The following is an 18,833-nucleotide window of genomic DNA, read 5'->3' on the forward strand; positions in this document are numbered from 1 at the left end:
GAAAAGCTTCAGAGTGCAGATTTTCCCAGAAACTATTCAAGAGCAAAATTAATACAATTATTCTGAAACTTGCTAAAAGTGAAACAGAAATACTGTTTAACTGAGTACTGTAGAAGAGAAATTAGAAACTCATTTTAAGAAACATTTCTAAAGATTAAGTCTTTGAGGAACTTGCCAAATGATGCAATTCTAATTTCACACATGCTATCGACGTTAGTTGTTGAAATATCATGAGAAACTGTTAAATGAATGTTTAAAGGGGGTAATAAGTGAACTCATTTTTAGTACAACAGGAGTTACATTTTTGGCCATTTTGCATTTTATTGCTACAATCTGGTATCACATATTGCTTGATTATTAGAATATGAAAATACAACTATTCCTTTGTATGTGCTATTTTCTAAACTAAATATTCAAATTCTATATAGACTGTGAAATATTTCCATGTGTTCAGACACTCACTACACCTTGTTCGAACTAATTCCATAGTCTGCCCACTTGTCCTGCTCTCAGTCCTACTCCAACCCATTCTGCACACTGGAGTCAGATTAATCTTTCTGAACAATAACTTTAATTATGCCATGCTTTTATTCAAAACCTCTCAGTAGCTCCTCAATGTCAAGCTAGTTGCAAAGTCTTCTCGCTAGCATTGAAAGCCCTCAACATAATGTCCCTAAAATACCTTCCTAGCCTTTTTCCATTAACCTCCACCTCCACCACCACTACTCTACCTACCCCATGATAGATCCAGCCAAATTGTAATGCTTCCTGCTCTTGAGAACTCTTTACTGGCCTGCTTTTGTTACTGCTCTTCCTTCAACCTGGAACACGCTCCTCATTTTTGGTAGTTTGAGTCATATCCATCCAGAAAAGTAAATGTTATAAACCACCACATAAAGTCTTTGCCCATTCAACTAACTAGATGTGATCTCTCCCACTTCTGATTCTCCATAAGATTCCTGTCCTAGTTAGGGATTGTTTTGATTGCAAGTAGTAGAAACCCACCCAAATGGTTTAAATAAAAGGGAGAATTTATGTGAAATATGAAAGGGGTATCATAATACCCAAAGTCCCAAACAGCAGCCACAGTCCATGAGGTTAAAGAGAAAAACTCACTCAGAAGCACAAAACTGATTGCTATGAAAAAGATGAAATCAGTTATTAGAAATTGAAAACATGATTTATGACAATAACAATACATGAATTGAATAGCAGAATGGACATAGTTGAAGAAATTAGTGAATTGCTCTGCTTGATTTTCCAGTTTACTAATAAATTCAGCAAAAAGATATGGGGGGAGCAAAGATGAAAAGCAGATTAAAGGGGGAGGTTAAAAAATAATGTAATTTTAGATGTTGATAGAAAATTTTCAGTTTAAAACAAAAAATGCTTCACTTTAATACCATGTACCAGCATGAATATAAGATGTATAGCTTCTGGAACACAAGAGGAAGTCTGGGGCAAAGGGTGAGAGGAGTGGAGAATGCAGAAATCTTGTTCAATCACTTCCTTTCAGTTTTGCCAAAATAGTAGGTAGCAAGGGATCTTATTTTTGTTTTCATTTGCATTTTCTGCATTACTAGTGAAGTTACTTACCTTCTCATATGTTTATTGGGTATTGATATTTCTTCTGTTAATTGCCTGTACATACACTTTGCCCATGTCTATTGGGTTATTTGTCTTTCTTATTAATTTACAGTTATCGTTATATATTAAGAATATCAAAACTTTGTCTGATGGACTGGGAGGAAACAGAGTATATGTTTCTTTCCCTTTTTTTTTTTTTTGTATTGTGTTTTCAAAATGGAGTCTTACTCGTTGCCCAGGCTGGAGTGCAGTGGCGCGATCTCGACTCACTGCAACCTCCGCCTCCCGGGTTCAAGCGATTCTCCTGCCCCAGCCTCTTGAGTAGCTGGGACTACAGGCACACACCACCATGCCCAGCTAATTTTTATATTTTTAATAGAGATGGGGTTTCACCATGTTGACCAGGCTGGTCTTGAACTCCTGACCTCAACTGATCCACCCACCTTGGCCTCCCAAAGTGCTGGGATTACAGACATGAGCCATCACACCCAGCCCAAAGTATATGTTTCTTGTCTTTAAAGTTTATTTTATTATTTGCTATAACATATTTTTAATTATTTAGAGAAACAGGCTAGAGGAAAATATAAATAAAGGCCAATAGTGTTAGGATCAGATTGTCTATTTTTCTTCCTCTACAATTTCTTACCTTAAAGAAAAAATAAAAAGGAAATACTGACGGATCTGACTACAAACTAAACTTAAAAATTCTACATGGCAAGCAATGAAGTTCACATTATAATAGTAATATGATGCTTCCTGTATGCCAGGCACTATACTAAGGGCTTTATACAGATTAACTCATTCAATTTGCACAACTACTTTATCAGATGGATATTATCATCATTTTCTTCATTTGACAAATGAGGAAACTGAGGCACAGAGAGGCTAAATACTTTCCCAAAGCCACTCAGTAGGTAAACAGCAAAGGGAGGATTTGAACTCAGGCAGTCTGTGCTTCCTGGACCCATGCTTTAAAGCACTGTGCTATAATTCTGCCTTTCAGACAGGCCAAACTCTGTAGAAAAATATCTTTCCAGAGCTAAAAGAATTTGGATATGGACATATTTTTCACAGATAGCTGGGTGCTGATCCTGCTGTCTTTCCTACAATGATGTTGTCTTAGAGGTGCTAAACTTGGCTCAAGAACCAGGAGAGACTGATGTTTGTGAAAATTGCCCTAAACTGAACTACACAGATTCGTGGTGTATGTTCTTCCAGAATAGTTATATAAGCCACAGTATAAATGACTTGCAGCATGGCAACAAATAAGCTGTTTTGTCAATTTTGTACCCTATCAGGGCACCTCAGCTGCCTTTGACAGTGTTTGTGCAAGTCCAAAACAAGATAATGCTGCTTCTGTCCCTTCTCTGTGTAGTACCTCAATTCCACCAAGCTCTGAATCCTCAATAAATACATTGGGCATTATAAAAGGAGTGTGTATGTGTGCGTGTGTGTTTGTGTGTGTGTGTGTGTTGGGGGGGGGGTATGAAAATGTGACAGACCAAAAAAGGTGATAAAATACATAAGTAAAAAGTATGTTCAACACACCCTATTCCCACAGTCGGAACAACCCCAAATCCCCTGGTCTATGTGAAAAACAAAGAAAAAAGTCCTGTTGTGAATCATGAGCCTGCATTTAATGGGATAAATAATAAACATAATATCCTGTGCCAGCCAGGGTCCCAGCAGGAAACAGATGGTACACTCAAATTAGGATAATTTAAAGAGGAATTGTTATAGGTAATATCCCCCAGGAAGCAGACGACTCTGAGATGGAGATTAGCAAACAGAAAGTTTATTGTGCAATGCTCTGAGGATCAAAACTTGGGAAAGAAAAGGAAGCCGACTTGGGCAGAGGGAGAAGTTGGGTTGGTAATGCCATCTCAGCCAAGGTCTTGGTGGACTCTAACAGGAGCTACGAAGCTGGAGCAGTCCTTCAGAGTTGTCCCAAGTTGGGCTGAGGAGGCTGGGCCTTTATGCCTCCTGCTTTGACCAGTCACTAGATATTGGCTGCCCATGGGACAGGGGATTACTTGGGCATCCTATCAGCTCCCTCAGCAGAGGGCAATTCCCAGAGAGGACAGGACTGACAGCTGACGGCAGTTGGTGGAATAAATCCTCCCATCCTGAAGGGGAATCCTGACAACTTAGTATAGCATCCACTACAGGGTTTATAAAAGGAACTATTTCCCAAAGTAAATGCAGAGTGTATGAAAAAGCCACGTGGAAAGTTATCAGGTAACTTTATTCAAAGAGATATGATGTGCTGTGTCTCTCAACTGAGAGACTGAACAGAAATAGAAAAATGGCCATATCATATATAAAATAGAACTCTAACCCACAATCTAGAGTAACAGGCCCAGGAAACCAATCAATTATCTACAGTAACCAGCCCAGGAAGCCAGCCTGCTATCTACAAGTCAGACTTGTAGAAAGTCAGACTGCTATCTCTAATAACAACCCAGGAAACTAAATAGAAATCCCTGCACAATCAGCCCAAAGTAGACAGAACTTGATTAATAACTGATAGATTCCCTAACATTTGTCCCCTCTTCCAACTTAGGACCAGAGAAAAACAAATATGCACCCCTAACCAATTACATAAGATGCCATGCTTCTCGTTAGCCCCTCACAACTTCCCCAGGTCAATAGCATCTAATCAGGGCATACATGAGACCTACCCTTTTATCCAACATAAAGCTTTCCCACTCCTCTGCCCACCTTGGAGTCTATCCCAAAACCCAAGTGATGGTGGCTGACTCTCTTGCTATAGCAAGCTCTGAATAAATAGCTTTTGTTTGTTTTCATTAGAGTGGTCTTCATTTATTTCCACATGACAAAGCCTCCACTGAGATTATCTCAGGACAAATTGTAAGAGGACAATTTGCCTAGCCCTGAGGCATTTGGAGCTAAACTTAAGTTTCTGGAAGTCAACTAAGAATTTTCTTGTTGTATAGAATAAACATTCAGAATGATGAATGTACATCCTTGCTTTTAAGACATATCTAGGTGGACAGCAGGTCCAGGAGCAAGAGCAAGTTTGAGGCTGGGTACACCAAAAATATATAAGAAAGATCCTCCAATATACAGGAGTGGAAAAGAAACTTCAATTTTAACAGTCCAGTAGCCCAGTTACACTCTTAGTTATTCCAAATATTTCACATGAGAATACGCCCTGAGGTAAGGTACTTTGTGAATGTTCCTGATCTGATATGCATAGGTAGCTTTGAGAGAAATGAGCTTAGGGTGGGGGGGGTGGCGGGAGTAGGGGGGAGTTACTTTATTAAGTACAAAAGAAACACTCTCTATGTTGTCTTCCCACCCTAAATCAAGTGTCCATGGAAACTGGGTAGCTTTTGCTTGAAAAAGGGGCTCTTGTTAAGATCTCCTTTTTGTTCTAGCACATCCCTGCTTAAGAACTTAACTTTCAGGCCACACACAACAGCTTATTAACCCAAATAAATGATTCATGCTGGACATTTTCAGAATTAAATGCTGGCCATTTTCAACAGCCCAGTGGGAATGGTCAGGTGAAGAAGAATGGAAAAATTATGCCATCAAATAATTTAGTAGATGGTTAACTATACCACCTCAAGCTGGCCCTGGATGAAACTAACTCACTAACAACCCTCTTTAATACATCAGCAGGCCTTAGTTTACCATATTAGCTAGATTCAGAGCTGAGTCCCTAGAGAAGAGACTCCGGATTGATTCAGTTTAAATGACAGGAGTATCTGAGAGGCTTGGGGTTACCATGGAAATACTAATAAATAGCATACAACGCACCTCTTGGAGTTGGAGTAATGAGTGGATAATTTTTTTTTTTTTTTTTTTGAGACGGAGTCTTGCTCTGTCGCCCAGGCTGGAGTGCAGTGGCATGATCTCAGCTCACTGCAACCTCCGCCTCCAGGGTTCAAGCAATTTTCCTGCCTCAGCCTTCCGAGTAGCTGGGACTACAGGGGCCCACCACCACACCCGGCTAACTTTTGTATTTTTAGTACAGACAGGGTTTCACCATATTGGCCAGGGTGGTCTCAAACTCCTGACCTTGTGATCCGCCTGCCTCAGCCTCCCAAAGTGTTGGGATTACAGGTGTGAGCCACCGTGCCTGGCCCAAAATATTGATTAGAGAGCAAGACAAGGTGCTATTAAGAAAAACAACTTCACCTGTGGCTGAACCTAATCCTTAGCTTGAGCCAGTTATGGATGAAAGTCTTTAGAACATAGGAATATTATGATCAAATAGCTGCAGTGGGGGTAAGAGAAGTGGCCGTTAGAGATTACTTAGTGAATCATCATTCCTCATCTGCTCAGCCCAATCCCACCTAACCACCAGCCAAGCTGTCTCACCACCAACATACTCTAAGCCCCTATGGTAAATAAAAGATCTTTGGTGAGGTGAGGCCTTGCTCCCCATGACTACTTGATTTTCCACCTAGGCTTCTGTAGGGAAGTTGTTGAGGAAGGCACTCCATTTCCCCAGAGATCCCTAAAGAGCATGTACATACTTCCCCAGCTATGTGATTTAGAGCCTGTTCCTCTACCTCACTGAAAGGGAAAAAGAGTACTTATAAAATGTTTACTACTGTTAATCCTTATAACAACCCTCTGGAATTCTTACTCTTTAGACTTCACAATGAAGGGGATCGGATTGTGCCAGCCCAAAATATGCCACTTTGGCATAAGGATTATTTTGAGCTAAAGGCAATTAAGAAGCAGCAAGAAGAGAAAAGGAATTCTTTTTTTGGGGGTGTTGGGGGGGCCGGAGTCTCGCTCTGTCACCCAGGCTGGAGTGCAGTGGCGTGATCTCGGCTCACTGCAAGCTCCACCTCCCGGGTTCACGCCATTCTCCTGCCTCAGCCTCCCGAGTATCTGGGACTACAGGCGCCCGCCACCACGCCCAGCTAATTTTTTGTATTTTTAGTAGAGACGGGGTTTCACCATGTTAGCCAGGATGGTCTCGATCTCCTGACCTCATGATCCACCGGCCTGGGCCTCGGCCTCCCAAAGTGCTGGGATTACAGGCGTGAGCCACCTCGCCCAGCGAGAATAGGAATTCTTTATCCTCCCTGCTTCTGCCTAAAAGCAGGGCGTAAGTTTCCCTTTGTGAAGGTGTCCCCCCCTCCTCTCTCCAGCACTGGGAAGAGGAGAATGACTCTTAATCACCACAGACACTGGAGATGGCCCTGATTTGAGTCTGCATAACAAAGCTTACTAATTAACCCTATCTTCTTTAATTTTTTTCCCATATATTTACCTTCCCACTATTTACTGCCCCTAAAAATCCAAACTACTTTTGCTTTGTCTAGTCACTTCTCCATAATTTATTGACCTTTGTTATAATGGTACATAAGGTCTGAAGTCTAACCACTTCTTTGGATTTTTACTTTTTTTAATAAAGTTCCTGCATGCATGCATAGTAAACATTTTCTTCTTTTGTCAATTTAATTTGCAGGCCCAGTGCTTGAACCTAAGAGGGCAAAGTTTTTCCTCCCCTACAACATTCGCCACACTTTACAGATGGGAAATTGAGTTGGAGAAATTGAGGCTAAAACAGCAAGTAGCTAGTGCCAGAATTTGGGACCTGTCAGTCTGATTTCAGTCCCTATGCTCTTTCTTAACTACTCCACTACAACTTCAGTTTAGAGAAACAGAATTTTTCCATAAAGCCCAGTTGCACACAGGGGCTACACTGTATTCAAAATACATGCTGAGTCTTTAAATACTAGAATCAGACTCAGTGAAGCAAGAAACATTGCAAGGAACATGAGACAGAAGCCTAGAATCTGCTGTCCCCTCAGGAAGTCTCAATCTGGGGCACATGCCTCTTGAGTGAAGGATGGGCAAAATTTCTTGAAGTGTTTAAATCCTTCCTTGTTATGTATGATCACAATAAGGAGATTATCAAAATGTGATTTCATTAATCACACAGTTTATTGCCATAAAAAGAGAATTTTTTTTTCCTTAGGTTCACAATGCTTATAAAGGGGGAGAATAACATGAACAAATCTCACAGGGAACACACTCAATAGATGAGGGACATTAAGCATATAGTGAATGAGATCCAAAATTATTAAAGTCTAGTTGTTCAATCAGGATGGAAGCAGGCCTCTGTGGAAAGTAACATCAAATGAAAGTTTGAGTTATACCTTTTGGTTACAAGCAGTTTTTTGGGAGCGATGGCATTCAACGTAACAGAGATCCATGAGGACATGTAAGGCCCCTCAGTGCTAGAGGACAGTACCAGTATTGGTGGGCAAGGCTTCAAAGCTCAAAGATTAACAGAGCAAACCTCAGGTATCAGAGAAGTGGCTGACAGAGAGCAGCCTGGTCACAGCAAACGCTCTCTGTCTCTCATATGAGGTCTGATAAGACATCACATGCTCGAGGGGAAGAAGGAGTATATTCCAAGTTCTTGCACAGCAAAACATGTTACTCACATAGCAAACTATGGAAGTATTTGGAATCATTTCCAAGATACATAACATTCCTTCATCCCTCTTTGCTGCACACATACAGGAAAATTTACGTATATTAAATGTGCACATGAGGCCAGGCCATCATTTGTAAAACAAGGCAAGGTGTGTGGGTTTTCAAAGTACTTAGAAATATAATTGACAAAGAAAATAGATAAAAAGGATCTAAGGCCTGTACACTGGTCAACTTCCTTGCCTGTGTGTTGCTTCTAGTTGGCCTGTGGTTGTGCAGCAGAATAGAAAACATTATTTCCGCTGGTTAATAGAAGACAGGTCTGAAGCCTCACGCAATTGAAGAAGTGTTGGCCAGTGCTTCTAACAAGCTCTGCAGGAGAAAGTGCAGCTAGGAGGATAAGGAGAAAATGGAAAACCTCAGGGAGGCTTCCTCCCAGCAAGCCTGCAGGAAGGCAAGGCACTGAGCATTTCTGACAGCTCTCTTGTTTTCTGCTCCCCTATTGTATTGATAAATATCACCAAAGGGCTTCTGAGCCTCGGACCTGGTGGAAGTACTTGGTTGAGCTGTTACTGATATTATGCACACATTCATACAGCTCCCAGAGGCTCAGGATTTGTTTGTCAAGAAAGCTACAATCAACACTTTCATCATGTCAGGAAGACATTCTAGGTTGTGAGCATGAGGCTAATGTCTGCACCCCTCACTTGGATGGAGCCACTTGGTCTCACATCATGAGATGTGAGCTGTAAACAGAAATGGCAGATGCTGTACATCCCACCTCATTACCTAGTGCCTTCAAATGAAAAGCGATAAACATGCTGCTACCTTAAGCATCTTGCACTTGTTCCACATTAATGGAAACTCTATGTTCTAGCTACAAGTAGTGGATTTCAGGTTGTTGGTTAATAACAATTCACTAATTTAAAACAAACAATTGGGGCATTCATTTGAAGGGTAGTTACTAGATGAGGAGACTGAACTCTCTCAGGCTTCATTGAACTTGGTTTCAGGTGACTCTGCAATGACAGACTTTGGATACATGCATTGACTTCATCAGCAGAAAGAAAGATTTTTATAATCACACGTTCCAGGATAATAACGAGGAAGGACAGGAGAGAGAAACAAAGAGAGAAGGGAAGAGGGGAGGGAAAAATCAGTGAGGGTGAGAGGAAGAGAAAAAGAGAACAGAGAGGTAGAGAAGAAGGGAAAAAGAAAGTGACGGGGGAGGGGGAACACACAGAGGAAAGGTAGAAGGGAAGAAAAAAAGAAAAGAAAGAAATACGTTCTATCATATACCATGTGAGTTGGAATATTATGGGAAGAAAAACAATAGCAGAGAGGTTTTGTTTGTTGTTTCTTAATGCAAAGAGGTTTTTGATTGCTACTACCACAGCTGGCTGTACTCCATGGTGACTGAGTTTTGTTTTTTGTTTTTTGGTTTTTTTTTTTGGAAAAGACCTAATAGAATAACTTAAGCAACCTAGGGAAACAAAAGACACAAAGGAAAAAGGAGATAAAGTTCCAGAGTGGTGCTGACCTGATTTTAGTGACATTTCTAATCCTGCCTAGAAGTACTCAGTAATTGACAGCAGGTAGGTTTTATTTAAAAGGGAGAAGAGAGAAGGGAAAAACATCGGTCATTAAATGCTGTTTACCATTTTGGCTCCCACCTTGCATTGAACCGAAGTTTGAAAGCAATGGCTAGAATAAACAGAAATAAAAATGAGAAGGTTCCAAGGATTTCTTTTTGGCAGTACTGCAATGCGGATCTGACAGAGCCAAGGGGCCCAGGAGCAGTCAGTAAGCACTGCAGAAAAAGTACATTCACAACTCTGCAGTTAGTTGCCCTGTAGAGGGTTTTACCAGGTGGCACTCCTTTCAGTATTTTTCTGTGTAAAATGGTATAACATTTGGTCTATTTTTGCTAAAAATAATATTTTGGCAGGGACTCAGAAAAGTAAGGTCGATAACGTTTAGAGGCTTGGTACTGTAACTACCTTATGGGTTCTTCCTGCCCACTGCACAGACAAAACCAATTCACTGAGACCATGCCATTGCAATAAAGAAAGAGTTTAATCAACACAAAGCCAGCCACATCATGTGGGAGAGAGTTATTACTCAAATCAATCTCCCTGAAAATTCAGAGGCTAGGGTTTTTCAAGGATAGTTTGGCGAGCAAGGGAAGGGGTGTGTGGAAAGTGGTCCTTCTTTTTTGGGGGTGCGTAGGGGGCAGGTCTGGGTGGAGCCATCATTGTCAGAAATGCAAAAACCTGAAAAGACATCTCCAAAGGCCAATCTACAATAGTGATGTTATCCACAGAAGTAATTGGGAAAGTTGCATATCTTGTGGAATATCTCTGGAATAAGGGCTGGTAATTACTTATGTCTACACCTCAGCAGAAGCCAGGGTCCTCTCATCCTCCTAACCTGGTGGCCTTTCATTAGTTTTACGAAAGAGGTTTAGTTTTGGGAAAGGGCTATTATCATTTATACTATAAACTAAATGTCTCCCAAGGTTAGCTTGGCCCAGGCCCAGGAAGGATTAAGGGCAGTTTAGAGGTTAAAGGCAAGATGGGGGTTGATTAGATTGGATATCTTTCACTGTCATAATTTTCTCATAGTTATAGCTTTTGCAAAGGCAGTTTCAATACTGAAATCATAGTTTGAAGACCAGCAGCAGGAGAAGCATCTGGGAGCTGGTTAGAAATGCAGAATGTTGGTCCTACTCCAGGCAGACTGAATCAGAATCGGCATATTAATAAAATCCCAGGGGATTAATACACAGATGAAATTTGAGCAGCCCTGGTTAAGAGAAAAATGGTAGGCTAACATCTCAAGTATCTATTTACTGAAGGCCTTTTGTTCTATCTGAGATCCTTAGTGCTTAACTGTGTATGCCCTTGCAAGTGACATGTGCAACCTCCATCCCCTTCCCCATCTCACGGCCAAGGCAGATGTTCCCAATTGATTAATCAATGCTGGACACCAGGAACACTGTCCTGAATTGTGAAGCTGAAAAGTGATTGGGTGAAAAATCTGGCTTAGCTTTTGTGTGTATGTGTGTCTTTATCAGAAGTTCTCAAGCTTTAGCATGCATCAGAATCATCTGGAGAACTTGCTAAAACACAGAGTGCTGAACCCCAGAGGCAGAGTTTCTGAAGCAGCAGGTCTGGGGTGAAGCCTGAGAATTTGCATTTCTAATTCATTCTAAATGCTGATGGTCCAGGGATTGTACTTTGAGAACCGCCAGACACTATCCTTTCCCTACCCCTCTCCCTCATATAAAGGCATTGTCATCTATCCTTGCCCTTGTTCTCTGCAAAGTGAGGGATAGTAGCTTGATGTGGTAACAAATATTGGCTGCTTAACCTGTTATACTCAAGAGAACAGAAATTTTATGAATATCTTAAAACAAACTCCTAAGAGTATTGTCTTAAATTATCTGCAGATGGTATTTTAAAAGTAAGAGTCGGCCGGGCGCGGTGGCTCACGCCTGTAATCCCAGCACTTTGGGAGACCGAGGTGGGCAGATCATGAGGTCAGGAGTTCAAGACCAGCCTGGCCAACATGGTGAAACCCCGTCTCTACTAAAAATTCAAAAAGTTAGCCAGGCGTGGTGGCAGGCGCCTGTATTCCCAGCTACTCGGGAGGCGGAGGCTGGAGAATCACTTGAACCCAGGAAGCGGAGGTTGCAGTGAGCCAAGATCGTACCACTGCACTCCAGCTTGGGAGACAACAGTGAAAACTCTGTCTAGAAAAAAAAAAAGTAAGAGTCATGTGTTAGAGATGGAGAGGAGGTGTTTGGGGGCAGTCAGTACCATGCTATGTCCTCTAGGTACCATCACCTAGACACTTGCCTCCGTAGGCCCTACCAACAGGACCAGGGGTCAGCTTCTGTGAATGTTTCCAGCAAGGCATGAGTCACTCTGCCAGGGAAACCCCTTTCTTTATCATAAAATATAAGGGAAAAAACTCTATCCAAAAAAGGAAGAAAGGTTGCCTTGCAACATTTTTGGGAAACAAGTAAGTTCTTTGTCTTATTGTAAAATGTGAAGCCTTCTTTATTTCAGAGACTAAAATGAGTACTAGAGACAGAAAGTCAAATAAGATATGGTTCCCAGGTTCAACCATGCAATTACAGTATATTTTGGATAATACAGTACAGGTATGAGCCAGGTCCCATATAAAGAGAAGGGAGGCTAATTTAGTCCAAAGGTTATGAGGGCTTCCTGGAGTAGAGGATGGTCAAGGAAATGAAAATATGTTACACTAAAATATACTTCTTTGACGTATTTTGACATGGATATTCAGACAATCAGAAAACAAAAGTATCCCTGCAAAGCTGTCTTTTGTGAAGGGATTTGCATCAGGAGAGAAAATCTGCATTGATGCAGCTAGGCCACCTCATCCAGATCTAGGAAGGTTTAACTGATAATCCGACACCTTTGAAAGTCTGAAAAACAAACAAGCAAAAACAAAAACAAAAAAAACATTTACCATGTGTTGTCTCTGAGGGCTGCTACCTATGAAGTTTCAACTACATAACAAGATCCCCTTCGCTAGCCAGGCCTCCTGTTCTCCCCACTCCCGTAATCTGTCTTGTCACCATAACAGTTTTGCCAGGATCCAAGCCCCTGTTCTTTCTGTAACCTCAAGATGGTATGAAGATGAAAGCATCAACCAGTTTACCTTTGAGTTTTTATATAATGTGTGACTCCCATGCACATGTAATACATGTGTGTATTTTTTCTTGTTAATCTATTATCAGTTTGTTTCATAGACTCAGATTATCAAACCTTCAGAAAAACATTTAAACTTTCTTACAATGGCTAATCTGATTATCAAATAATGATTGGGAGTTACCTTTAGCAAGAGAATAATATGATAGTTGTACTTACTAGAATGATTACACTGGCAGCTTTGTGAAGAAAGGATTGAGTCAAGACTTGGGATAGGGACTGGTTAGAAGATGGTCATGTTAGCAGCAGAGAATCTGTATGGGTCGGCAGCAACCTCAGTTCTTGCCTCCTCACAAGAAAGAATTCAACCAAGTGGTACGAGGCAGAGTGAGAGGCCGAGGAAAGTTTTAGAGCAGAGTGAAAGTTTATTTAAGTTTTAGAGCAGGAACAAGAAGAAGTACACTTGGAAGAGGGCCAAGCAGATGACTTGAGAAATTCAAGTGCCCATTTGACATTTGACTTGGGGTTTTATATGTTGGCAGGCTTCCAGGGGGTTGCATCCCTTCTCCCCCAATTCTTCCTTTGGGATGGGCTGTCTGCCTGCACAGTGGCTTGCCAGCGCTCGGGAGGGGCTGCATGTGTTTACTGAAATTGTGCACATACTCACTTGAGGCAATTTCCCCTTAGCAGTTGAGTGTTCCTAGGGGAAGATTATATGTCAGTTAAACTCTGCCATTTTGCCTCTTAGCGCACATGCTTGATCCCACTTGCCCAAATCCTGAGATCTTATTGGGAAGCTGCTAATCACCAGCTTCAGGTGTTTCTATCCATTGGGAGACTGCCTTTCCCTGGTGCCGGCTGCAACGAAGCATTTTTTTAGAGAGAGTTTAACAACTGCCTGACTATCTCCTGATGGTTGCTTGACATTCCTGGTGCGGGGTGGTGGGGGGAGGGGGGGTGTTCCCTGCCCTGCTCATGTCTGACTAACTACCTACTGTAGCAGTCACAATAGTATATGGAGACCTAAACTAGAGAATGGCAGAAGGGGAGAGATAGACAGTTAGAAAATATCCAAGATATAGAATTATCCAGTCCTCACAATTCTAGCTGTAGGTTACTCTTATGCAGAGTCATGCTTCTTGAGGATGATACCCAGAAATGTGGTCACAGCTCATCTAGCCCTGCCTTCTGGAGAGGACTTCATCTTATTTTAACCCTCTACTACCACCATGTAGGGGTCAAGGGAAAACTTTTCCTTTGCCCTTTGAAGTTTCATTGAAAATCAACTGACAAAAGGTAGATTAGATTAATAAGAGAAATGGCATACAAATTTACTAACATGTACAGGAGAATACCAGAGTGATTACCCCAACTCTCCAATGGGGTTCAGAAGCTTATATGCCATCTTGAGGTTACAGAAAGAATATGGGCTTTAATCCTGGCGAAACAGTTTAGGGTGGCAAGATAGATTATAGGAGAGAGAGAAGAGGTCTGGTTAGCAAAGGTGGTCTTGTTATGTAGATGAAACCTCCAAGGTAGCAGTCCTAAGAGAGAATATAGATTGTAAATGTTTCTTTCAGACCTGTAAGGGTGTCAAACTCTCAATTAATCTTTCCTAGATACAGACAAGGGAAGGCCCTCAGAGAAAACCTGGAAGTATCAATGCAGATTTTATCTACAGATGCAAATCTCCTCCACAAAAGACAGCTTTGCAGGGTTACCTCTGTTTGCAGACTCTCTAAACAGCCATCTCAAAATATGTCAAAGTAGTATATTTTGCGGTAAAATATTTTTATTTCCTTCAACCATCATACTCTTTTCCTTCTATTTTACTAGATTCCTCCAGAACTGATTATAGTGCCACTTCAATATTCTTGTTTTCAGACATCCCCCTTATTAGACCATGTTATTTTTACGAAATGCCCCAAGTGTCTGCCCTGGCTCTGCTTCCCTCCCCCAGGTACCAAACTCTGCTAGCAGACCCACTACAGATTTGACTGGTACCTGGCCTCACAGGGAGCCATCTTTAAATACCAACTCTCCTAGCCAAGAGCTGCTTGTATCTATGTACATGTATCTTTGCTGACTTGTGTCTTGCTAACATCTGCCTTCTAGTTACTCTGACAGTCTACTTATGCCGCTATATCGATAAACTCATGATTTTCTTTCTGAATCAAGACTTTTGGCTGCCAGGTAAACTCACAGCCCAATCTGTCTCAGCAACTTCCACCCCCAGCAGTTATTTGCCATCAGGGTATTTGATCTAGACCAAGGAGTGTCTCAGTCTCCACTATTTGGCCATTATAGCAGATGCCTCTGGTACCCTAGCCTTATCCCCTATGTTCACCTCTGATTTCAGCCAAAGATATTATAAATAGTTCTGTGCAAAGGCCCCACTTTTGCCTTTATCCCACCTCAAGCCACACCTCTTTTTGCTTTTTGCCCTAGGGCCTTATCCAATATTCGAGGGAACTTCAAAAAGTTCATGGAAAAATGGAATTAAAAGATAAAAATTAAAAATATAAACTTTATTTTTTCACATAAGCTCCATCAAGTCCAAGACACTTTTCTAAGTGATAATAACAGCCATTTAGTTCATCCCTAGAGAAATGAGGATCCTGGGAATTTAACTATGTCAATGCAGTCATTGCACAGCATTAACTGAAGAAAAATGGGTGTCCTTTAAAGATTTTTTTTGAGACAAAGTCTTGCTCTATCGCCCAGGCTGGAGCGCAGTGGCACAATCTTGGCTCACTGCAACCTCCACCTCCTAGGCTCAAGCGATCCTCCAGCCTCAGCCTCTTGAGTAGCTGGGCCTACAGACACATGCCACCACGCTTGACTAATTTTTGTATTTTTTGTAGAGATGGGGTTTCATCATGTTGTTCAGGCTGGTCTTGAACACCTGGGCTCAAGCGATCCACCCATCTTGGCCTCCCAGAGTGCAGGCATGAGCCACTGCACTATGCAAAAGATGTTTTAAGATTAGGAAACAAAAGGAAGTCAGAAGGGGCCAAATCAGGACTGTAAGGTAGATGCCTAATAATTTCTCGTTGAAACTCTTGCAAAATTGCACTTGTTTTGGTGCAAGGAATGAACAGGAGCATTGTCATGGTAGAGAAGAACTCTCTGTTGAAGTTTTCCTGGGCATTTTTCTGCTAAAGCTTTGGCTAGCTTTTCAAAACACCCTCATAATAAGCAGATGCTATTGTTATTTGGCCCCCCAGAATATCAACAAGCAAAATTCCTTGAACATTCAAAAAAACTGTTGTCATGACCTTTGCTCTTGACCAGTTTGCTTTTGCTTTGACTGGACCACTTCCACTTCTTGGTAGTCATTCCTTTGATTGTGTTTTGTCTTCAGGATCATAGTGGTAAAGCCATGTTTCATCTCCTGTTACAATTCTTCAAAGAAATATTTCAGGATCTTGATCCCACTTACTTAAAATTTCCATTGGAAGCTCTGGTCTTGTCTGCATTTGATCTAGGCACAATGGTTTTGGTGCTCATCGAGTGAAAAGTTTGCTCAACCTTAATTTTCCAATCACAGTAGTGTAAGCTGAACCAGTTGAGATGTCTACGGTGTTGGCTATTGTTTCTGCTGTTAATCATCAGTCCTCTTCAATTAGAGCACAAACAGGATGGATTTTTTTCCTGGCAAATTGATGAGGATGGTCTGCCACCATGGGCTTCATCTTCAACACCATCCTGTCTGTTCTTAAAATGAGTTACCCATTTCTAAACTGCTGACTTCTTTGGACATCGTCCTTGTAAACTTTTCATAAAGCAACAATGATTTCATCGTTCTTCTACCCAAGCTTTGCCATGAATTTGATGTTTATTCTTGCTTCAATTTTAGCATAATTCATGTTGCTCTAATAGGGGCTCTTTTCAAACTGGTATCTTATCCTTCTTAGTGTCTCAAACTAGATCCTGTCAAAAGTTAGTACTAGCTTATAGTACTAACAATACATGTATTTTATATGGTTCAATACATGAATTATATATTTTGAAATTCATCCATAATTTTTTCATAATACAAATTTTCTCATGAACTTTTTGAAGCTTTTTCATATTAGTAGTTTGCCTGTACATAAGCATACCCCAAAAGTGTGGGAAGGTAGTGTCTGCAGGGGTGATTTTCAAACAATAAGGGGGTAGGGAGTGATGTATAAATAGATGAAAGCTCTGACCACCCATGAGATTCTTTATACTTCTTCAGAAGCCCTGGTGGAATCAAGACCCTGTTCATCATAGCAATTACCTCAATTAAGTACCCATATATTAGGTTTTCACTCTCCCTGCCTCATTTCCCCATTTCTTCACTCTTGCTTCATGAAATCATATCCCAAATAAACCATCTACATTCAAATCCTTGTCTCAGTTTGGGTTCCCTGCAAGGCAGAGTCAAAGATAGTCATATAGCATGTTTTACTCTGTCTCCTATATTACTCATTTCCAGAAAATGCCAAACAATATACAACATTTAAGAGGAAGAAAGAAGGGGTATAGAGATCTACAAGGTAGAGGGAATAAACATAGTATTAAAGTAGAAAACTTGTGATATTAGGGACAACAAGGAATTATATATGCAAAGAAAAAATCTGAGACCAAAGTTGCCAACATTCTTTCAATTAAAGGACTAATCCTTAGGCAGACCACATATACAACTCAGAGCTCTTAGTCAAAGGAATATAGAGGTTGGCATGCCACCAAGCTGCTCAGCATCATAGTTGTTAGATTAAAATGTGATGGTGCCTCCAGGGTAGTGCAATACAGAGACTCTGATGTGAAGAAGTAATTTGTTTGAGATCCATTTGTCTAGTGGTAAAAAAATAACCTTTCGGTTGGGACAGGGGGTAAAGAGGAGGAGTCAGGGAGAGAATGTGTATGTGTTTGGGAAGGGATAAAGTAAATTTTAAGAAGCAGTTGAGGTGGGGTATGGTAGCTCATGTCTGTAATCCCAGCACTTTGGAGGCAGGAGGATCACTGAGGTCATGAGTTCTAGACTAGCCTGGCCAATATGGTGAAACCCCATCTCTACGAAAAATACAAAAATTAGCCAGGTGTGGTAGTATGTGCCTGTAATCCCAGCTACTCAGAAGCTGCTCAGGAAGCTGAGGCAGGAGAATCATTTGAACCTGGGAGGCGGAAGTTGCAGTGAGCCAAGATCACACCACCACACTCCAGCCTGGGAGACAAGAGTGAAACTCCATCTGAAGAAGAAGAAGAAGAGGAAGAAGAAGAAGAAGGAGAAGGAGAAGGGGAAGGGGAAGGGGAAGGGGAAGAAGAAGAAAGAAGAAGAAGAAGAAGAGGAAGAAGAAGAAGAAAGAAGAAGAAGAAGAAGAAAGAAGAAGAAGAAAGAAGAAGAAGAAGAAGAAAGAAGAAGAAGAAGAAAGAAGAAGAAGAAGAAGAAGAAGAAGAAGAAGAAGAAGAAGAAGAAGAAGAAGAAGAAGAAGAAGAAGAAAGAAAGAAAGAAAGAAAGAAAGAAAGAAAGAAAGAAAGAAGACAGATTCACTCATCCTTTATGCCTTTTGTGAGAAAATGTAAGAACCTAGGATGGTGACAGGTAAAACATAGGATATATAGACCCACCATTAGCAGATGCCATTGGTGCCCAGCCTATATCTTCCCATATCCACTGTAGTGGTTCTCAAATAAGTCCACAAATTCTTTGACATACCTCCTTTCAAAAGGTGATGATAAAGTTCCCCTTGAGTGTGTGCATTGGAATTAGTGATTTCCTTCTTACCAAAATAGAATATGGCAGGACTAGGTAACGGTGTGTGACTGTCAATACTAGGTTATAAAAGGCATTGTGGTTTTCTCCTTGTGCTCTGTCTTGTGTTGCTCACTCTGAAGAAATCAGTTGCTATATCTTGAGAATACTCAAGTAGCCCTAATGAGGGGCCCACATGGTAAGAACATGGGGCCTCTTCCTAACAGCCAGCAAAGAACTGAGCCCTTCTGCCAACAGCCATGCATCTTGGAAGTGGATCCTCCAGCCCCCGTCAAGCCTTCAGATGACTGCAGCCTGGCTGACATCTTGAATGTAACTTTATGGGAAACCTTGATCCAGAACCACCCAGTTAAGCTGATTTCCTGATACACAGAAACAATGGCTTAGAAACATTA

The sequence above is a fragment of the Homo sapiens genome, chromosome X (genome assembly GCF_000001405.40).
Source record: "Homo sapiens chromosome X, GRCh38.p14 Primary Assembly".
Classification (NCBI taxonomy): Eukaryota; Metazoa; Chordata; class Mammalia; order Primates; family Hominidae; genus Homo; species Homo sapiens.